Here is a 22,255-nt window from a genome sequence, read left to right on the forward strand (position 1 = left end):
GGCATCTTTGTCATGAAATCTTTGCCCATCCGTATATCTTGAAATTGACAAACAGGATCTAATTAAACTAAAGAGCTTCTGCACAGTAGAAGAAACTATCAACAGAATAAGCAGACAACCCACAAAATAAGAGAAAATTTTTGCAAGCTATGCATCTGACAAAGGTCTAATATCCAGCATCTTTAAGAAACTTAAGCATATTTACAAAAAAAAAAAAACAAACATCTCCTTAATATGTGGATAAAGGACATGAACAGACACTTTTCAAAAGAAGACATACATGTGGGCAATGAACAGATGAATAAAAAATTCAGCATCACTGATCATTAAAGAATTGCAAAACAAAACCACAATGAGATACAATCTCACACCAGTCCGAATGGCTATTAAAAAGTCAAGACATAATAAATGCTGCTGAGGTTGCAGAGAAAAAGGAACACTTATACACTGTGGTTGGAGTGTAAATTAGTTCAACCATTGTGGAAAACAGTGTGGTGATTCTTCAAACACCTAAAAACAGAGTTATTTGACACAGCAATCCCATTATTGTGTATATACCTAAAGGAATACAAATCATTCCATTACAAAGACACATGCACACATATATTAATTGCAGCACTATTCACAATAGTAGAGACATAGAATCAACCTAAATGCCCATCAATGATAGACTAGATAAAGAAAATGCGATACATATGCACCATGGAATACAACGCAGCCATAAAAAGAACAAGGTCATATCTTTGCAGAAACGTGGATGGAGCTGGAGGCCATTATCCTTAGCAAACTAATGCAGGAACAGAAGCCCCAACACCACATGTTCTTACTTATAAGTGGGAGCTGAACATTGAGAACACATGGACACATGGCAGGGAACATCACACACTGGGACCTGTCAGAGGGTGGGAAATGGAAGGAGGGGGAGAATCAGGGTGAATAGCTAGTGGATGCTGGGATTAATACCTGGGTTATGGGATGAACCATGCAGCGAACCACCATGTCACACATTTACCTATGTAACAAACCTGCACATCCTCCACATGTATCCCCAAACATAAAAGTTGGGGGAAAAAAAAACATAAAAATAAATAAATGGTAGAATGCACACCGAAACGCAGATGTACCTGAGAGGTGAAGGAAATGGTGACCCATGACCCAAGACAGAGTGAATGATGTCACAGATGCTGAACAAATGCCAATTGTGAGCCAGGTATGGAGCTGCTGCCCCATAAACCAGCTCATCTCTCCAGATGACCCCTGCAGGAGATTGCAACACAATACCACAGTGAGGAAAGCCAGATGTTGCCCACATCCCCCTCGGAGAAACCCGCCAGGGGCATGTTGGGACGTTGGGAGTGTGAGCCCTGGAGACAGTGTTGTGGCAGGGATCCAGGTTCTCCCAGCTGCCGGCCACAGGGCTCTGCCCAGGTAGCTTAATGCCTCTTCCCCTCAATGTCCTCATCTGTATAGTGGGACTGGCAATAGAGCGTTTGGTGGGGTCTCCATGGGAGGAAAGTACACGTGCACAGGGCTTACCCAGCATAGCTCTAGCTCATGAAAATCAGTCAGGTATCAACACCCTGATCTGGGAGGGAGAAAGGGAAGGGATGCTTCCAGAAACACTTGAAGCCTGAGCTGGCTGGTCTTAAGAGATGAGCAGGCCTGAATCTGTGCAGCGTGGGGGTTGGCCAGAGGGTCCTTGGAAAGCCATGCTCCAGTCACCTGTGGGTCAAAGGATGTGCAGTGCTCCTCCTCTGCTGGGCCCAGGTTGAGGGTGGGCGTGGTGGGTGAGGCTGAGATGCAGGCAGGAACCCCAAAGCCACCTTCCCTGTCCCATATCCAACCACAGCCAGTATGGCCAGATGTTTACACATGAGACAAAACCCCCTTTGCACCAGCAATAACTTCACGAAGTTTAAGGTGGTAGTTTTATTTCTGGTGCCCATTACTTGAGGATAAGAGGTAATAGTAAGTGATCCCCATCAATCCAGTAACACTGTAAGATAAGTTGGTGATGAGCTAACTACCAAGGTATCTATATATGCCTTGGCACAGTGTGCGCATGTGTTTGTGTATGTTGGGGTGGGGTGATGAGAGCCAGAATGCACGTGTGTGTGCATCCGTGTGTGTATGTGCATGCCTTATGTGAATGCAGCTTATTTTATTTTTTATTTTTATTTTGTGTATTTATTTTTTGAGACAGGATCTCACTCTTTTGCCAAGGCTGGAGAGCAGTGGCATTATCTTGGCTCATTGCAACCTCAACCAATGGGCTGATTTTGCCCACTTTTGCAGAGAGAATGGAGTAGCCCATTTTTGCAGAGAGATTGGAGGTCAAGTTTTCAATTACCATCCACCCCTTTGATAGAAACTGCAGTTTTGTTGTGCCTGTTATGGAACTGGAAAAATAAAAAAAAGAAAGGAAGAGAACCTAAGATATCACTTTTTAAGGTATTACTTAATTGGAGGTAGTGCATTTTACACATTTCTGATGGTTTAGGCTAAACCATTTGTGTAAAGCACCAAGACAGGCTCCATAGCTGGGCACCATGGGTCTGCATCCACTCTCAGGGATAAGGTTCATGGTGACAGGCTTATTGATCAGTCTGTTTATGTTCTGTAAGGCAAACCTATGCCTGATTCAACAGGTTTAACATGATAAACACTATCACAGCTCTATGAGTTCTTAGTAAGCTGAGAGAATACAATCTACAAAATTATTTTAGAACAGCACAGACCATTTTCCTACCTAAATTGATAACTCCAGCCACAGCAAAGCCAATGCACCACCATAAGCAAAATAATTTCTCTCCTACTGCTGATTGGACCATCTCCTGCATCTGGGATGTCCTTGTCCACTGGAAAAAAGTTATGGAAGATGCTGAAGGTGTGAGGATTCCACATGCAGATTCCTGGGATCTTTGCTGCAGGGTACCACATCACCGCCCCCTACGTGTTGCGTTTTTAAAACTCTCTTAGAGAGTGTTTACTTCTCACATCACAGATTTCTTCTCTAACTCCAAAGACTTTTACACTGTAATTCAATTTCTCAACCCTATCCAATTTCCAGGGTAAAGAGGAACAGAAAAAATGTCAGGGGAATTATTTACTCATTATATCCAATATTTGCTGTCTAGTTGATATTCAGTGTTCTTCAGGAATTCCTTCCAGGTCACTACAGGCAAAAGAAAATGTTCACCCTTTTCTCTCCTGTGGCAACAATTTGAAAGTATCTTTATCGTAATACACAATACTCTGCAGTGTCACCCGCGCTGACTTCTGCCTCCCTAAGAAGATTTTCAGCTGCCAGACAGCAGAGAATCTGTTTTATCTGCTGTGTATTCTATTTAGCTTTACAAAAGTCCTAAAATATGATGAGGTCAGTCTACGTTTGTAGAATGTTGGCCACTAATTTTCTCATTCCATCAAATTAAGCGACTGCCTAGTAATCACATAATGTTTAAATATTTCTCTGAACAGTTACACACTGATTTTTCGTATTACTCATGTCCAAATGTGTTGGGCAGGAATGTCTTCTCAAGCCCAATTTGAATAAAAAAAAAAGGTCTCAGACACTTCTCTCCTTGGCACCAGGTCAAGTTTGCTGTCTGAGCACTCCACGGCTGCTTTTGATAGGCGACAAAAGGTTTTGAATTTCAGCCGTTTAAACGTTTTCAACTGTTTTCTTGGTATTAATAAGTGAAAGTTTCCTCCCATGGTTAAAATAAAAAGAGTGTGACTTTCTGAATTCCCTGAGCTGAAGCTTGCACTGCACATCAGCCCTGCCTCGGGAAGGCTGTCCTGCTGACCCTCAGACACTAGACATGAAACCAGGGGAGCATCTTTACTCCTGACTCTCCTGTCGTGCCCAGAGTCAGAACACCTGGGCCATGGGACATGCATATCTTCATTTCATTATTTTTTTCTTTTTGAGACAGAGTCTTGCTCTGTCACCCAGGCTGCAGTTCAATGGTGTGATCACAGCTCACTGCAACCTCTGCCTCCCAGGTTCAAGCAATTCTCCTGCCTCAGCTTCCTAAGTAGCTGGAATTACAGGTGCCTGCCACCACGCCCGGCTAATTTTTTGTATTTTTAGTAGAGATTGGTTTTTGCCATGTTAGCCAGGCTGGTCTTGAACTCCTGACCTCAGGTGATCCACCCGCCTCAGCCTCTCAAAGTGCTGGGATTACAGTCATGAGCCACCGCATCCGGCCACCTTCATTTCTTCTTAATTCGGTTATGTACATTGACGTCGGCTGTTTTTCTAAGCCTCCCTCCCGTTCTACTTCCCCTCCTCCTTTCTCCCCTTACTTTTTGTTCCCTTCTTTATCTTGTTAGGGTCATATTATTTTATTTTCTTTGTCAGCTTTATTAAGGTTTAATTGACATAAAAATTGTATGTATTTATGATGTATAACATGATGTTTTGAAATATATATACCTTAGGAAATGATCGAATCAAGCTAATTAACATATTCATGACTTAATACTTAATCATTTTTTGTGTGTGTGATGAGAACACTTAAGGTACCGTCTCTTCGCAATGTTCAAGTATATGTTATTATTCACATGGTCACCCGGGTACGTGATGGATCTCCAGAACGGATTCCACCCATCTCTCTGAAGCCCACTGCCCTTTGACCTGCATCTTCTCAATGCCACCTCGCCCTCCTGCCCTGATGACCACTGCCTACTTCCTACTTCTTTGAGCCTGACTTTTTTAGAGTCCACCCATGAGTGAGAACATGCAGTATTTGTCTTTTGGGCCTGGCTTATTTCACATAACCTGATGTCCCCAGGTTCATTCATGTTGTCACAAAGGGCAGGATTTCCTTCTTCTTAAGGCTGAATAATGTTTCATTGTACAGGTCATCTTTTATATACTGTCTTGTAAACAGAGTTTCAAAATGGAGGGATGCTTTGTTTCAGATTTCTAACAACTACCACCAAAACACAACTAAATTGATTTAATGGTTACTTCAAATTACTGCACCTGATGACTATGGTTTACTCTTTTATTCAATACTTAGGATTATCCTATAAAGTCAGTGCTATTATTATACCCAATTGTCAGAAGACTGAGCATGGAGAGGTTAAATAACATGAGCAAGGACACACAGGAAGAAAGTGGCAAAGCTCTGCACAGTACATTCCTCCTGGGTGATCTCAGAAGTGATTATAATAAACTGATAAGAACAGGTCCTACACCTGATCTTAGCCAAAAGACCAACAAGGATGCCCTTTCTAACCATTCCTAGTCAACATAGTTTTGAAAGTTCTGGCCAGAGCAATCAGACAAGAGAAAGAAATAAAGGTATTCAAACAGGAAGAGAGGAAGTCAAATTGTCTGTTTTCAGATCACATAATCTTGTATCTAGAAAACCCCATCATCTCAGCCCGAAAGCTTCTTAAGCTGGTAAGCAACTTCAGCAAAGTGTCAGAATACAAAATCAATATGCAAAAATTACAAGCATTCCTGTACGTCAACAATAGAAAAGCAGAGAACCAAATCATGAATGAACTCCCATTCACAATTGCTACAAAGAGTATCAAATACCTAGGGATACAGCTAACAAGGGAAGTGAAGGACATCTTCAAGGAGAACTACAAACTACTGCTCAAGGAAATCAGAGAGGATGCAAACAAATGGAACAACATTCCATGCTCATGGATAAGAAGAATCAATGTTGTTAAAATGGCCATACTGCTCAAAGTAATTTATAAAGTCAATTCTATTCCCGTTAAACTAACATTTGCCTCCTTCACAGAATTAGAAAGATCTGTTTTAAAATTCATATGGAACAACAACAACAAAAAACCTGAATAGCCAAGACAGTCCTAAGCCAGAAGAACGAAGCAGAAGGCATCACACTATCAGACTTCAAACTACATACTACAAGGCTACAGTAAACAAAACAGGATGGTGCTGGTACAAGAACAGACACATAGACAAATGGAACAGAACAGAGAACTCAGAAAGAAGAATGCACATCTACAACCATCTAATCTTTGACAAACCTGGCAAAAATAAACAATGGGAAAAGGATTTACTATTTAATAAATGGTGCTGGGAGAACTGGCTAGCCATATGCAGAAAATTGAAACTGGACCCATTTTTCCAATTAAGGCACACCTGAGACTGGGTAATTTATAATGGAAAGAGGTTTAATTGACTCACGGTTCCGCATGGCTGGGGGGGCCTCAGGAAACTTACAATCATGGTAGAAGGCACCTCTTCACAGGGTGGCAAGAGAGAGAATGAGTGACCAGCGAGTGGGGAGGCCTCTTATAAAACCATCAGCTCTTTTGAGAACTAACTCAACATCACTAGAACAGCATGGGGAAAACCACACCCATGATTCAATTATCTCCACCTGGTCCCTCCCATGACATGTGGGGATTATGGAAACTGTAATTCAAGATGAAATTTGGGTGGGGACACAGCCAAACTATATCAAAAAATAACTTACACCTTATGCAAAATTAAAAATAAAGAGTTACATGTAAAACCCAAAACTATAAAAACAGTAGAAGAAAATGTAGGCAATACCATTCAGGACATAGGAACAGGCAAAGATTTCATGATGAAGACATCAAAAGCAATTGCAACAAAAGCAAAAATTGACAAATGAGATCTGATTAAACTAAAGAGCTTCTGCACAGCAAAAGAAAGGATCATCAGAGTGAACAGACAACCTACAGTATGGGAGAAGATTTTTGCAATATATTCATCTGATAAAGGTCTAATATCCAGAGTCTACAAGGAATTTAAACAAATTTACAAGAAAAAACAAACCACCCCATTAAAAAGTGAGCAAAGGACACAAACAGACACTTCTCAAAAGAAGACATTTATGCAGCCAACAAACATATGAAAAAAGGTTAACATCACTGATCATTATAGAAATGCAAATCAAAACCACAAAACCACATCTCATGCCCATCAGAATGGCGATTATTAAAAAGTCATGAAACAACAGATGCTGGCGAGGCTTCAGAATAATAGGAATGCTTTTACACTGTTGGTGGGAAAGTAAATTATTTCAACCATTGTGGAAGACAGTGTGGTGATTCCTCAAAAACCTAGAACCAAAAATACCATTTGACCCAGCAATCCCAATACTGGATATATACCCAAAGGAATATAAATAATTATATTATAAAGATACATGCACACGTGTATTCATTGCAGCACTATTCACAATAGCAAAGACATGGAATCTACTCAAATGCCCACCAATGGCAGACTGGATAAAGAGAATGTGGTATATATACACCATGGAATACTATGCAGCCATAAAAAGGAAGGAGATTATGACCTTTGCAGGCACATGGATGGAGCTAGAAGCCATTATCCTCAGCAAACAAATGCAGGAACAGAAAACCAAACACCGCCATGTTTTCACTTATAAGCAGAAGCTGAACAGAGAGAACATATGGGCACAGGGAGGAGAACAACACACACTGAGGCCTGTTGGGGATGGGGTAGGGGGAGAGAGAGCATCAGGAAAAGTAGCTAATGCATGCTGGGCTTAATACCTAGGTGAAGGGTCGATAGGTGAAGCAGACCACCACGGCACACGTTTACCTTTGTAACAAACCTGTACATCCTGCACATGCACCCCAGAACTTAAAATAAAATTTTATACAAAGAAAAGAGAACTTAAAATTGTATACAAAGAAAAGAGTCCCTAATAAAAGGGATTCTTCTTCCTGGGTTATCCCTTAATATGCTGCAGACTTGCGCTTCAGGTTGTTTGGTGAGCCTCAGGTGACTTTGTGTGTGGGTGACTGGAGGTAAGAGGGTGCCGAATTCAGTAAAAAATTAAGAATTGTTTTTCTAAATTTTTGGACACTTAATACTAGAACAGAGAGGTAATTGCTATCTGATATCCCACTATCTCTGCCATATTAATCATGCCCATTGCCACCCTTTTCATCATAGAATTCTGCATATCATCAAGGTCATTTCCCAAACAGATGATTTTTGGAACTGAGAAAAGTTTCTCAGAAATAATGAAAGTAGAGGACAATCTAAGTAGGTACGTGTAGCAAGCCAACCAGCAGCAACATGAGAAAAGAGAGGTTGCATTACAATGAGATGCAGAAATTCCTTATTTCAAGCCTCTTAACCCAAGGATTTATGTTTCCTAAACTTTGGATTTGAGACCTGGTGAATTTTTTTTTTCAGGGGTGGTTATGGGAGATTAGTGCTTAGATTCTTTGAACAGACTGGGATTTGGAGAAACCCTCCTTTTCCGCTTCTTCCTGTGCCAAATGGTTCTACCTTTGCAGGTTGCTTGCAGTTTTTAAATCACCTTCAGGTGCATTATTTAACTTAATTTCTTTTTTTACTCGGAGAATATAAAGTACAGAAAAGTTCAAAGAATGATATAAACACCACCACTCAGAATTAATGACATTGTATCAAACATTTTCCCAAGTGTCTTAAGAAAAAGAGATGCATTAAAATTTGAAAAACAACAAGCAACAAAAACCGGGAAAGGGAGAGCTAAGTAAAAGAAGAAAGAAACCTGATCTGTTGATAGCCTAATACGCATTTCTAAATTTCCTGTTCCCTGTTTGTCCTGATGTGGGCACTGTCTTTCTTATGTAGCCATCAGGCCAGGATCCAGGGTCACTAGAGGCCCTGAAACGTGGTACTGGCCTTGGAGACAGACCTCGGCCTCGGCCTCCCGGCCTAGTACTCCCCTGCTCCTCCCCACTGCCAAACACTTATAAAGATCACAAGCTAAATAATTCTGAAAAGAATTGCCCCAAACATTAAACTCATTTTTTTTTTCTTCTTGCCTTGTCTTTATTCTTCAGGGGTCCTGAGTTTCCTCAATGGCATTCTAATCCATGAGTGTTCAGAGAGAGCAGGTGGGCTCCCCTACCCGGCGCCTTCCGACCGGCATCTGGAAAAGGATAGTCAGAAACGCAGTGAAAATTACGCCTGCAACCCTGGCAGGCAGGGAAGCACTTAATAACTTACGTGGGTGTCAGGGCAAGGGAGGCGTCCGCAGACCAGAGTTGTGATGGACCGTTCTCCACCATGTGATGTTCATTTTCTCCACTGAGATTAAAAAAGAAGAGGAAAGGAAAGAAGGAAAGTGCACAACCTCCTTGAAAAGACAGCTCCTCCTGCCGAAAATGTGTTGCAGACTCGGTCAGTCAGGTGGACTTAATTGGAAGGCACTTTCTTTTTGATGGAAAAAGAAGGAGAAAGATTTGTAAAATTGAACCAATGTTAACACACTCGCATCCCACAAGGAGCTGAGTTTTGATCTGCTTCATGCTGAGAGAGCGGGAAGGAGACCAGAGTGTGTCTCAGACTTTCTAAGCTCAGCTGTAAGTTATAAAGATCCACCTACAACTTCTTGCAATTCTCACAATTACACTACATAAAATGAAAAAGAAGGCCGGGCGCCGTGGCTCACGCCTGTAATCCCAGCACTTTGGGAGGCCGAGGCGGGCGGATCACGAGGTCAGGAGATCGAGACCGTCCTGGCTAACACGGTGAAACCCCGTCTCTACTAAAAAAATACAAAAAATTAGCCTGGCGTGGTTGCAGGCGCCTGTAGTCTCAGCTACTCCGGAGGCTGAGGCAGGAGAATGGCGTCAACCCGGGAGGCGGAGCTTGCAGTGAGCCTAGATCGCGCCACTGCACTCCAGCCTGGGAGACAGAGCAAGACTCCGTCTCAAACAAAAAAAAAAAAAAAAAAAAAAGAAAGAAAAGGTGACTGTAGTGAAGAAATACATTTCCAAGTCCTCTCAAAGCCGTGATATTCTATGCAAGCAACATTCATAGAAGCACAGCTTACTACATGTGTTCTGTGTGCCGTGCTCTTGCGTGCACCTGGAATGCCAACTGCACAGTTTACTGTGTCCTGTGTGCCGTGCTCTTGTGTGCATGCAGAATGCTGACCGCACAGTTACTAAGTGTTCTGTGTTCCGTGCTCTCGTGTGCACGTGGAATGTGGACCACACAGCTAAGTGTGTTCTGTGTGGCATGCTCTAGTGTGCGCATGGAATGCTGACTGCACAGCTTACTACGTGTGTTCTGTGTTCCGTGCTCTCACATGCATGCGGAATTCTGACGGCACAGCTTACTAAGTGTGTTCGGTATGCCACACACTTGTGTGCATGCGGAATGCTGACTGCATAGCTTACTATACGTGTTCTGTGTGCCCCACTCTCCTGTGCATGTGGAATGCTGACTGCATAGCTTACTATGTATGCTCTGTGGGCTGTGCTCTCATGTGCACGTGGAATGCTGACCGCACAGCTTACTAAGGGCGTCCTACGTGCGGTGCTCTCATGCACATGCACAATGCCGATGGCACAGCTTACTAAGTGTGTACTGTGTGCTCTGCTCTCGTGTGCACGTGGAATGCTGACTGCACAGCTTACTACATGTGTTCTTTGTGCCACGCTCTCATGTGCGTGCACAATGATGACTGCACAGCTTACTACGTGTGTTCTGTGTGCCGTGCTCTTGTGTGCATGCAGAGTGCTGACCGCACAGCTTACTACGTATGTTCTGTGTGCCACACTCTTGCCTGCACGTGGAATGCTGACTGCACAGCTTACTACCTGTGTTCTGTGTGTGACGCTCTTGTGTGCATGTGGAATGCTGATGGCACAACTTACTCTGTGTGTTATGTTTGCCACACTCTCGCGTGCACATGGAATGCTGACTGCACAGAGTACTAAGTGTGTTCTGTGTGCCACGCGCTTGTGTGCATGCACAATGATGACTGCACAGTTTACTGTGTTCCATGTGCCGTGCTCTTGCTTGTACATGGAATGCTGACCGCACAGCTTACTAAGTGCCTACTGTGTGCCATGCTCTCATGCGTATGCACAATGCTGACTGCACAGCTTACTATGTGTGTTCTGTGTGCCACGCTCTTGTGTGCATGTGGAATTCTGATGGCACAGCTTACTGTGTGTGTTCTGTGTGCCACAGTTTTGTGTGCACATGGAATGCTGACTGCACAGCTTACTAAGTGTGTACCGTGTGCCATGCTCTCGTGTACATGGACAATGCTGACTGCATAACTTACTAACTGTGCTCTGTGTGCTACACTCTTGTGTGCATGTGGAATGCTGAATTTATCTCAGCTGATGACTTACTTTCATTGTTCATTTAACGCTAGAAATGTTAGGACTGATTCCTCCATTTTCTCAAAATCCAAATGCATAATTGAAATCGGCCCTACTGTTTTTAACTTTCTGTGGGGAGGGAGGCCCAGCAGTCCATCTGTTATGGAAATTTTTGAAAGACACAGAAGGTACATTATTCTTAGCCAAAAGGATTTCTCTTGGTATTTGAAATTGTTCTCAGTCTTTCATCCTTTCTTTCCTTGGCCTCCCCAGTCCCCATGTTGTGACCATATGCCTGAGATACACACATTGCGAATTTCCCCTTTGCTTTATGTTAGGGCCAGTGAAACTCTTCAGTGACTCAGTGAGGTTTATCCTAATAAGATTCCATCCTACTTTACCTTGAAACTGCAGGATGGCTGTTTTAATTATAAGGTTATCAATATATAGAAGGAAATGGGTAAAGAGATCATGTTACACAGGTATTGCAAGCATGAACAGCTCTATTGTTTTAAGTGGGAACTTGGCCAATCCCAGAAAATGGCCCACCAGCCATATTTGCAAGCTGATGTTTATGTCTACAGTCCTCTGTGAGGGTTATGTGACCGCCTGTGAGATGGCTGTTCCACACTCTGCCTGAGCATCTGAGAGTGCCTTGTCTTTTATTTGTCACCTCCATTGCTTCAATTTATTACCATTTAAATTGGATGCTAAATTTTAATATGGTTATGCATGTGTTATAAGTCATTGGATGACATATCCAATATCATTGAAAATTTCTTAAATAATTATTTTGTACTCAAAATATTTTAGGAAGTGTATAGCACATATAAAATCATGCTAGTTATGATTATTTATAATTTAAATATTATAGTGAACAAGATAATTTGAAGATATTAGTAAACATAGTGTGCCTACTATTTCCAAGAAACTTCGGTGGTGTTAATTATATTATTCCCTGTATATATACAGTATTCCCTGTATAAAAATTACACTCAGTTTGTAACCAGGTTGTCTTTTGAACCATACAAAAGTTTTTTCTGGTACAGAGGAGAAGTTCAAATGCTGAAATTCTGTTTATATGTAGTGCCTGCTTGGCTCAAGCAGTGCAAACCATGAACTCAAACAGTCCCAGTGACAACTGTCCATGTGGCTCCAGACCTGCAGAAAGAACGTGGAAGCTCTGAAAAAGTCACAACCAGAGTTTACGTCCAGCCTCACTCTTCATGACCTGGCATTTACTTGTAACGGTGGACTTTACACACCACCCACAGACCCTGTGAAGCTGGGAGAAGCCACTGACATTTTGTCCTTCCTCACATTTCAGTGTGATGAGCACACACAGAATACCTGCCCACTGCGAGGTACGACAGGAAATGCCGGTGACTCAAAGACCAGGGGCTTGGTCTCTTCTGGGCACCTCTTCCCATTCATGTTTCTCCTCTTCACTCCTGATTCCTTTGCATTCTCCCTTGCAATTGCTTTCCAGTTATTTCTTGATGCAACTTTTTTTCTCAAGCTAATTTTCATGGGACACTATGGACATCTTTCGGCCTCACTGGAATTACTCAAGGTAAAGAGCATTTCATAGACCAGCGGCTTTGCTGGACAGGAAGGGCTAAACGTAGAATCAACGACAGTCAACGATTAAAACCAACTTTCAGCTGAGTTGCAAACATTCCTTATTAGTTTTCTTCAGCATGAGTATTCCACACATGAAATCCTCCACTTGGTTCTGCATATGGGGGCAATTGTTACAATCAAAATAGTTCAGAAAAGTTGAGGAATTACTTCATGAGGACCGTGTCATCTCGATGCATAGACGCAATTACTTCTGCATCCGAGCCATTATTACTCACTTTCCCATTGGTTAGAAATTAATATCATCCTTTCACTAAACCAACTCTTCCTTGGATTTTTGTTTTTGTATTTTAACGACAGTTCTCCCCGCATAATTATAAACTATGTCTGTCAGGCCTCTGTCTCCAACAGTTCCCACCCTCCCCTCTGTGGTTGAAGATCCTGAACATCTTGTAATCATGCTTTGGGGAGGGTCTAGGTGAAAATCCCGGGAGTTCCACATACCCCTGAAGACCTGCTCCCATTCCACACTTGCCCCATATTGCACATACGCAAATTAATACAGAATCTGGGTGATTTCCTATTCCAAAAGGAATCCTCATATCCACAATCATAATCCACTTTTTAAAAATCCTGAATGGCATGTTTTGACTGCCAAGCCACCGGCACTGACCAGATTATCATCACCATTTTTGGCTTTTTCAGCATGTTGTCTGATTCTCTTTGCCATTTGCCATTTTGCCATTTTAGGTTTTGTTTGTTTGGTTTTTTGCTCTGGTTACACCAATACTGACAACAGTAATGACAACAGAAAACTTGTGGGGAGCTATGCGTCCCGTAGCCTCTCGCCTGAGCTCACATCGCTCTGGGGGGATGTGTGTCCTTGTCATCCCCAGCACACAGGCCAATAATAACTACCTGGTGCCCCCATAGAAGCCTGGGAACTGAACTCAAAAAGCAAAGTCATTCTAATTTTTTACCACTTTGGTTCATACATTTTAAGTGGCTAATTCTCCATGGTCCTCCTCAGTTTGCTGGCAACCGCGTGACCTTCAGCAGGGACGGCTCATCCATCACACTTTGAACTTTTCACTTCATTCCATGCTCCCTTCAGCTTTGCAAGGAAACCTTTGTCCACAGCCCTGTTTACTACACACAAGGGAGCCTCAATCTGTGTAGCTGTGTAACACAGGAGAGGCCCAGGTATGGCAGCATGGATCACCCATTCAGCACCTTCAAACTTGAGTGCAAATGGTCATCCCTAAAACTCATTTTGTCCATCATCACTTTAAGTAATGAAAATTAGGCCTTTACTATATTTTTGATAGAATCCAGTTACTATATTTGTAATAGTGAGTTTTTGATAGGAATCTGAGAAATTTCCTCAGCATCACATACATTATAGGTTTGTTCACAGAAAGAGAGGTGGGTAAAAAATTAACTGAAAAGTTTATTTGGTATAATATAAAGCATGGTTTATTGTGGAAGTCAGTGTGGCGATTCCTCAGGGATCTAGAACTAGAAATACCATTTGACCCAGCCATCCCATTACTGAGTATATACCCAAAGGACTATAAATCATGCTGCTATAAAGACACATGCACACGTATGTTTATTGCGGCACTATTCACAATAGCAAAGACTTGGAACCAACCCAAATGTCCAACAATGATAGACTGGATTAAGAAAATGTGGCACATATACACCATGGAATACTATGCAGCCATAAAAAATGATGAGTTCATGTCCTTTGTAGGGACATGGATGAAATTGGAAATCATCATTCTCAGTAAATTATCGCAAGAACAAAAAAACAAACACCGCATATTCTCACTCATAGGTGGGAATTGAACAATGAGATCACATGGACACAGGAAGGGGAATATCACACTCTGGGGACTGTGGTGGGGTCGGGGGAGGGGGGAGGGATAGCATTGGGAGATATACCTAATGCTAGATGACACGTTAGTGGGTGCAGCGCACCAGCATGGCACATGTATACATATGTAACTAACCTGCACAATGTGCACATGTACCCTAAAACTTAAAGTATAATAATAATAATAAAAAAAGAAAAAAAAAGATTAAAAAAATAATAATAATAATAATATAAAGCATGGTTTATAAACACTGAATCTGGCTTTCTTCTTCTCAGACGTAGAGCAGGGGAGATAATCTAGGTTTGTGCTACTGGAATCTTTGAGTAAATTCTGCCAGATTCATCATGTCTCCTAGGAGCAAAAGGTAAGACCACCTAGTAATAGATGAATAAGCAAACAAACAAAAATATTTTCCAAATGCAAGACCAAAATGAATTTGCCACTTATTCTTCAGAAAGGAAAAAAATGATTTGCTGACTTGAAAATGCAGCTTTCTAGAGGCCTGGCTGTAAATGACAGGTCCTCAAATACTTGGCCCAGAGCTTGGCTATGGGGACAAGAGTTTCCCCAAAAAAAAGAAAGTGATGCTTGGTTGATAACTCTGTCACATCTATTGTAATTTGTAAGGGGAATAAAATTGTTCTAGACTTCATTTCTGATTGTTCAATTATGTGCAAAGAATGAGGATAGAAAACATGCCTAGAGAGATATACACAACATTTTTAAGATGGTTTTCATGGGGTGATGAGATTATGTGTGATGTCTAATTCTTTTTTTATAGTTTTTCTACATAAATAAAATTGCATGCAACAGATAAAGTTGCAGATATGGTTGATATACTACTTACATTTTATGATAATTAACCAATTTTTAGTACCAATTATTTTTGGATTACATTTATTCTTCCCTCAAAGTTCACTATTGTATGACCACAAAAAAAAATATCTTTGGATGAGTGATTTTCAATTGACTCATGAATATCCCAGTTTCATGCATCAAGTAAGAAGCAAGAAGCAGATTTTCACACAGGCTTGAGAGATAACAAATGACAGACTAAGGAAAATCAAGTAAAATACATTTGAGAAAGTTCTAAGGCTAATATCTTCTCTGAATTTCAGATAAACAAATGGTAGCCATATACAGTAATGGTTGATTTTAGGTGTCACATTGAAAGGGTTAAGAAATACCCAGACATCTGGATATCTGGGAATGCATTGTCTCTGGCTGTGTCCCAGAGGTGGACGTTTCCAGAAGAGATTAGCATTTGAATCAGTGCACTGAGTAAGGAAGATCTGCCCTCATCGAAGGTGGGTGGGCACCATGAATCAGCTGAGGGCCGGAATAGAACAAAAAGGCAGAGGGGAGGAGAGGAAACTTTGCTCTCTCTTGTGGAGCTGGGAAACCATCTTCTCTTGCCCTTGGACATCAAAACTCCATGTTCTTCAGCCTCCAGATTCTAGGACTAGAACCAGAAGCCTCTCAGGCCCTTAGGCCTCAGACTGAGAGTTATGCCATCAGCATTCCTGGTCCTGGGGCCCTAAGACTTGGACTCAGCCACACCACTGGCATCCTTGGTTCTCCAGTTTGCAGATGGCCTGTCTTGGGACTTCTCAGATTCCAGAATCATGAGTGCTAACTCTCTCCTGATCTGTCTATCTATCTATCTATCTATCTATCTATCTATCTATCTACATCTCTAAATATCTATTTATCTATATCTTCTATTAGTTACATTTTTCTGGAGAATTCTAAAACATATATATAGTATACACACACTATATATATACACATATATGCACATACACACACACACATATATATATATGTATACACACATGCACAGTTAGCCCCCTATATCCATGGGTTCCAGTATTATAAGTACTCTAGAGATTATTTGAAGCACCTGTATGTAGGAAGATATGAACAGGTTATGTGCAAATACTATACCATTTTATATAAAGGACTTGAGCATTCATGAATTTTGGTACAGGTGGGAGATCCTAGACCTAATGTCCCTTGGATATTGAGGGACACTTGTGTGTGTGTGTGTATCTCATATATTACATATATTCACATTATATATAAATATATATTCACATAAATTTGCTTCTATTTAGCAAATTTAGCCTGAGTTCTAGGTGGTGGTTGAGAGCACCATCATTTTTGCAACTTGGGGTGAAGGGAGAGCAGGAGCCCTTCCTAATTCAGGGATCTTCCTGGTAGTGCTTTCAATCAGACTCTACTTCCAGGGGCAAAATCTGTTCCTGAGATTAAAGTAAAATCAGGAGAATTAGAAGGGATTTAGAATTTCAGTTATAAAAATAATCCCCCTTAAGGAGAAGAGTCCTCCAAAACAAGTAGACTTGCAGTATGAGTTTATCAGAAGTATCAGAACATCTGAAATAAAGAATCCTGATATGTTGAGAGATTATTTATAAATATCTTATTTAAACCTCCAAACAACCAGTAATGTTATCATCATTACATCCCATTTCAATAAGGAAGTAGAAATGGTAGTTGAATGACATCAAGATCATTAATGAATTTCAGATTCATTAGACGTGTCAGGCTCAGAATCCATAGTTTTCAAAGCTACAATGTCCTGTTCTCTCTTACTGAAAGGGGCCATGTGGCTCCAAGATTTAATGGTGTTGTTGGGCTTCTATCAATCTGAGTTTAACTCTATTCTGGCTTATGAAGCACTTAGGTACTTGTGAAATGGGCAATACAAAAATGAAAGCATAACCAGCTAGAAAACTGTGATAGGTCCCTTTGTGGAATAAGGACAAAAGTGATTTATTTATTAAGATATTATGTTAAATATTTGAAGAGATCAACATTTAATTTAAAAAAACTGTTGAGTTTGAAATGAGCTCATGGATTATGGATATCCAGTTAAACAACTACATTAGAATATCTACTGCATCTTTGGATGAGATAACTCTTTACCTACTCATTGTAAAACTTCATTTCTAGACATTCAGCATAGTAAATGAAGTATCACCCAAGTATTTGGCTTCTCCCATGAAGAAGTAGAGCCTCTCTATCTTACCAACCCTTGAATCTAGTCTGGACCTCTAGAATCTTGGAAATTATGTTATGTAAATGCTATACATAGGAAGTTAGAGTCCTGAAATCTTTTGCTCTGTTAATTAAGCCACCCCAGAAAGAACCCAGGCTATTCTGCTGGAGAATTCGCCAGCTATTCTGCTGGTGAATTAAAAAGCAATAGCAACCCTGGACAGGTGAGTGAGGCCATCATAGGCCACCTTGATTCAGGTGAGACACCAGAGATGTGACTTGTCTCAGGTGAGACACCAGATATGTCACTTCAGGTGAAATCAAAACAAAATTCTCCAGCAAAGCCCACACCAAATTGCCAGGCCCAAACTCCTAAGCAAATGAGTGAGTTGTTTGAAATGAAGATTTTTTTTTTTTTGCATGAGATGTTACACAGTAATGCATAGCTGGTAATTTACAGAACAATAATATTGTATGAGTTATGCATGTGTAAATTATTGCACTGACAGGTGCAATAGTAGAAAAATATCAAAACTTGCTGCAATAGTAGAAAAATAAAAAACTTGCAGGGGCTTTAACTTTTAACAGCAGATGATATTGCAAATGCCTTTTCCTTTTTTTTTTTTTTTTTTTTTTGTGGGGAGATGGAGTCTGGCTCTGTTGCCCACGCTGGAGTGCAGTGATGCAATACTGCAACCTCTGCCTCCTGGGTTCAAGTGATTCTTCTGCCTCACACTCCCGAGTAGCTGGGACTACAGGCACATGCCACCATGCTCAGCTAATTTTTGTATTTTTAGTAGAGATGGGGTTTCCCCATATTGGCCAGGCTGGTCTCAAACTCCTAACCTCGTGATCCTCAGCCTCCCAAAGTGCTGGGATTACAGGTGTGAGCCGCCGTGCCCAGCCACTTCCTCTCTTGATGATACTATTTATTCATTAGTAAGTGGGAATCTTTTGTAATGAGATGACCTGCTGTGGTTACATTTTTATTATTTCTCTTCTCTAGTGAGAGATGCCAGAAATCTTCATTTAGTCTTTGGATCTGGCAACATCAGAGGAGAGGTGTGCACCTCTTGGTATCACTTGAGGGCTTTTCAGGTAAGGGGGTTGATGATGGTGAGGCAAGAAGGATGAGCGGACGGCACCCTAAACTTACTGAGAATAATGGACAGAGTCACATGATTTAAGGAAGAGAATATCATCAGAATTTGTTTTTTAAATTTTGAATTTTTTAAATTTAATTTGGTTTTTAAATTTTAGAAGAATCTCTGCCCAAGACTTAAGTTGTAATTGGCAAAGAGAAGGAAGGGAGATGCTAACTCTGTGTCACTAAGATGGCAAATGTAAGACTTACTCCTAACTCAATGTCCCTGGGGTGGGCTGTGACTCCTGAAACCTTGGGAGCCTGTAGTGTGAGGGTGAAAATTAAAGGCCAATATTATGAGCCAGCTTGAAACCTGATACAACTGATATCACTATTTCTAACAACAAGTTATCTTCCCCATTTGCTTCAGTAGATAAAGTCTTCTTGCCCAACAACCCTCCTTATCAAGGGCACCAGGTACATTCCTGTTTATCCTTGAGTGGTGGGTCTCACATTCTTGCCCACCCACAGAATGATTCCAACAAGCCAATGACATCTTCCTCCAGTGTGATGGTCTGAATGTGTGTTTCTCCCCAACTTCATGTGTTGAAATCCTCACCCCCAAGTTGATGGTGTTAGGAGGATTGGCCTTGGTAGGTGATGAAATGGAGAGGGACCTCATGCAATTCAACTTTCTGACAATAGAAAACAGTAAAAATTAGGTCATTGTCTGGTTCGTTATAAAAGAAAGCATCCATTTTATATCCCCTTAGAGTTTTACTTTATTATGGGTGGAGGGAATGATTTCAAAGTGCTTTGTCTCAAGAAATGTACAAATTTATTGGGAATTTCCCTTCAATAAATGTCATGTTCTCAATTTTTTTAAATGATATTAGGTCTCTTAGAAAAGAGGCCCCGGAGAGCTAAGAGAGCCCCTTCCACCACAGGAGAACACAGTGAGAAGGCACCATCTGTCCACCAGGAAGAGTGCCCTTGCCAGACATTGAATCTGCCAGTGCCTGGATCTTGAACTTTGCAGCCCCCAGAACGGTGAGAAACAAATGTTTGTTGTTTACAAGCCACCCAGTTTATGGCATTTTGTTACCACTGGCCAAATGGACTAAGACACATGGGAACCAGGGGCCAGTCCACCTTCTTAAAGCTTCCCACAGATGCTGTTTGTTCACTCTGTTCCCACATGCAGTCTCCATGTGGCCCCATCTGGTGTGTGATGTCCTCCTCCCTCAGACTGTGAGCATAAGTAACTACTAAAGTGTGGTCTACCTCACCTGTCCAGTCATGTATTCTACCATCTCCATAACTAGAGGGTGGAAATTCCTTCCTCACCAATGGGGTAAAGAGGTGGTGAAAACAGAGCCCCCACACTGAGGACAGATACAAGGGAGCATCCCCACATCAAAGAAACTGGATGGATTGAGCAGCAACCTGGACCAGTGAGCCAGGCTTAGGAGCAGACTGCCTGCCTTTTGGATGGCACAGCCTAACACTGTTACAACAATGGGGCCTGGTCACTTCAAGCAAAGGTGACGCATACAGATCAGATTCCAGTGCTACCTCTGCTTGACTGTAGATATAAAAGCGGCCTGCTTCTGGACTGGACTTTGTAAATTCTCTAGGATCTTGGACAATTTCAACTGAAGGGTATGATTTAAGTGATTGATTGGTTGTGAAAGCTAAGGTTGTATTTGCCTCCTGAATCCAAGTTGTAACAATAGTAATTGTTCTACCAGAATGTTCCCAAACACTTCTTTAGAGACATGGAGTTGAGCTGTCCCGTAACTTCAGCCAGCCATCCTGGACACTGATGCCCAGGCATCCTGCTGTGCTCAGCTGATACTCCCCATGAAGACAGCATCTCAGTCCCTGTGCCAGACATTAGGGCTAGAGCTCAGATACACTGTTTGCTCCTCCACAAACTGGAACAATGCTGCAGTCCCAGTAGCAGCTTGAAGGCCAGCGAATCTTGCTCAGCCTCCCATCCTAGGCACTCTTGCAGGCGGCCCACATGCAGATCTCCCTTGTCCCTCTCTCTGCTCATGCCGTCATAGCTACGCCAGGCCTTTGCCTTATCTCCTGGCTTCCTGCTCACTGCTTCATTCTCTTCTTATTGTATTTTAATTTTTACTATTGGCTTACTAGCTCATTTGTTATAACTTTCTATTTTACTGGTTTCCCTATAATTTTTTATTTTTTTGTTTTTATTTTTTGAGATGGAGTCTCACCCTGTCTCCCAGGCTGGAGTGCAGTGGCACGATCTCAGCTCACTGCAACCTCTGCCTCCCAGGTTCAAGCAATTCTCCTACCTCAGCCTCCCGACTAGCTGGAATTACAGGCATGTGCCACCATGCCCTGCTAATTTTTATATTTTTAGTAGAGACAGGGTTTCACTGTGTTGGCTAGGCTGGTCTCGAACTCCTGACCTCAGGTGATCTGCCGGCCTCTGCCTCCCAAAGTGCTGGGATTACAGGCATGAGCCACCACACCCAGCCTGCCATATAATTTGTAAAACACATATTTGACTTATAACAATCTGCTCTAAATCATATTTTAACCATATATATATATATATACATACATACAAATACACACACACACACACACACACACACACACATATATGGTTTATATATATATAGAGAGAGAGTGTAAGACTCTTACAATGGTATACTTCCAATTCTTAACTCCTATACTTTGTACAATTTTGTCATAGCTTTATTTATGCTTTAAATCTATAATATGTAATTAATATTTTTACTGTATAAAGTAAATTCTCTCTGAAAAAAATACGTATTGTACATTGACATTCATATTTAGCATTTTTGGTGATTTTTTCTAGAGATTTGAATTCATATCTGGTGTCGATATTTCTCTGCCTGATGAACTATCTTTATCATTTTTTATGATACATATCTGCCAGCCTTGAATTCTCTTGGTTTTCATTTTATTTTATTTTTTAATCTTAATTTGTAAGAGATATTTTCCTCTGGGTAAATAAATCCATTTTTTTTTCAAAAGTCTTTTAGTACTTTAAAGATGCCATTCTATTGCCTCTTTCTTATCTTGCATTTTCTGATGAAAACTGTGTTGCTGTGTATGTCTTTGTTATTCTGTGTAATATGTTTTCTTTCTGTCTTCATCATTTTTTATTTTTCTTTGTTTTTGGATTTCAGTAGATCGGGTGGTGTCTAAGTGCTTTCTAAAATAATTGTATTTAATCCTCCTTGGAGTTCTCTGAGCTTCTTGGGTTTGTAGTTTGATGTCTTTCATTGATTTTGGAAAATTCTTGGTCACTCTCACTCCTGTTTCATTCCCTTTTCTCATTCTGCATTTTTAATTGTCATCTTTTAGACTGCTAAAATTGTCTGACAGTTTATTATATTAGGCTTCTTTTTAACCTTTTCTTTTTCTCTTTTCTCTATTGGTTTGTATAATTTCTTTTAACCTATATTTATTTTCCTAAGTTGTTCCTAATTTACTAATAAAGCCATCAAATAATCTCTTTATGTCTGATTTCTTTTATTTCTAGCATGTCAATTTACTTATTTGTATTGTTTCTATC

The 22,255-nt window shown here is 41.0% G+C and overlaps 1 long non-coding RNA gene across 1 annotated transcript, besides 1 other annotated feature; it reads left to right on the forward strand.

Annotated features, from left to right (window-relative positions):
• The first annotated feature begins 1,227 nt into the window (after positions 1 to 1,227).
• Positions 1,228 to 19,725, forward strand: LINC02063 (long intergenic non-protein coding RNA 2063). Its single transcript, NR_183262.1, has 5 exons — positions 1,228 to 1,428; positions 8,830 to 9,351; positions 14,846 to 14,934; positions 18,598 to 18,689; positions 19,572 to 19,725. It is a non-coding gene; the product is annotated as a long intergenic non-protein coding RNA 2063 (long non-coding RNA).
• Positions 11,824 to 13,023: an enhancer, noted in NCBI's record as "BRD4-independent group 4 enhancer chr5:4146354-4147553 (GRCh37/hg19 assembly coordinates)". NCBI's record gives its function as "activates an origin of replication core promoter dependent on BRD2, P300/CBP, MED14 and CDK7 cofactors, and independent of BRD4, by STARR-seq in HCT116 cells {active_cell/tissue: HCT116}" and the evidence as "EXISTENCE:reporter gene assay evidence [ECO:0000049][PMID:35650434]".
• Positions 19,726 to 22,255: the final 2,530 nt, after the last annotated feature.

The sequence above is a fragment of the Homo sapiens genome, chromosome 5 (genome assembly GCF_000001405.40).
Source record: "Homo sapiens chromosome 5, GRCh38.p14 Primary Assembly".
NCBI classification, from domain to species: Eukaryota; Metazoa; Chordata; class Mammalia; order Primates; family Hominidae; genus Homo; species Homo sapiens.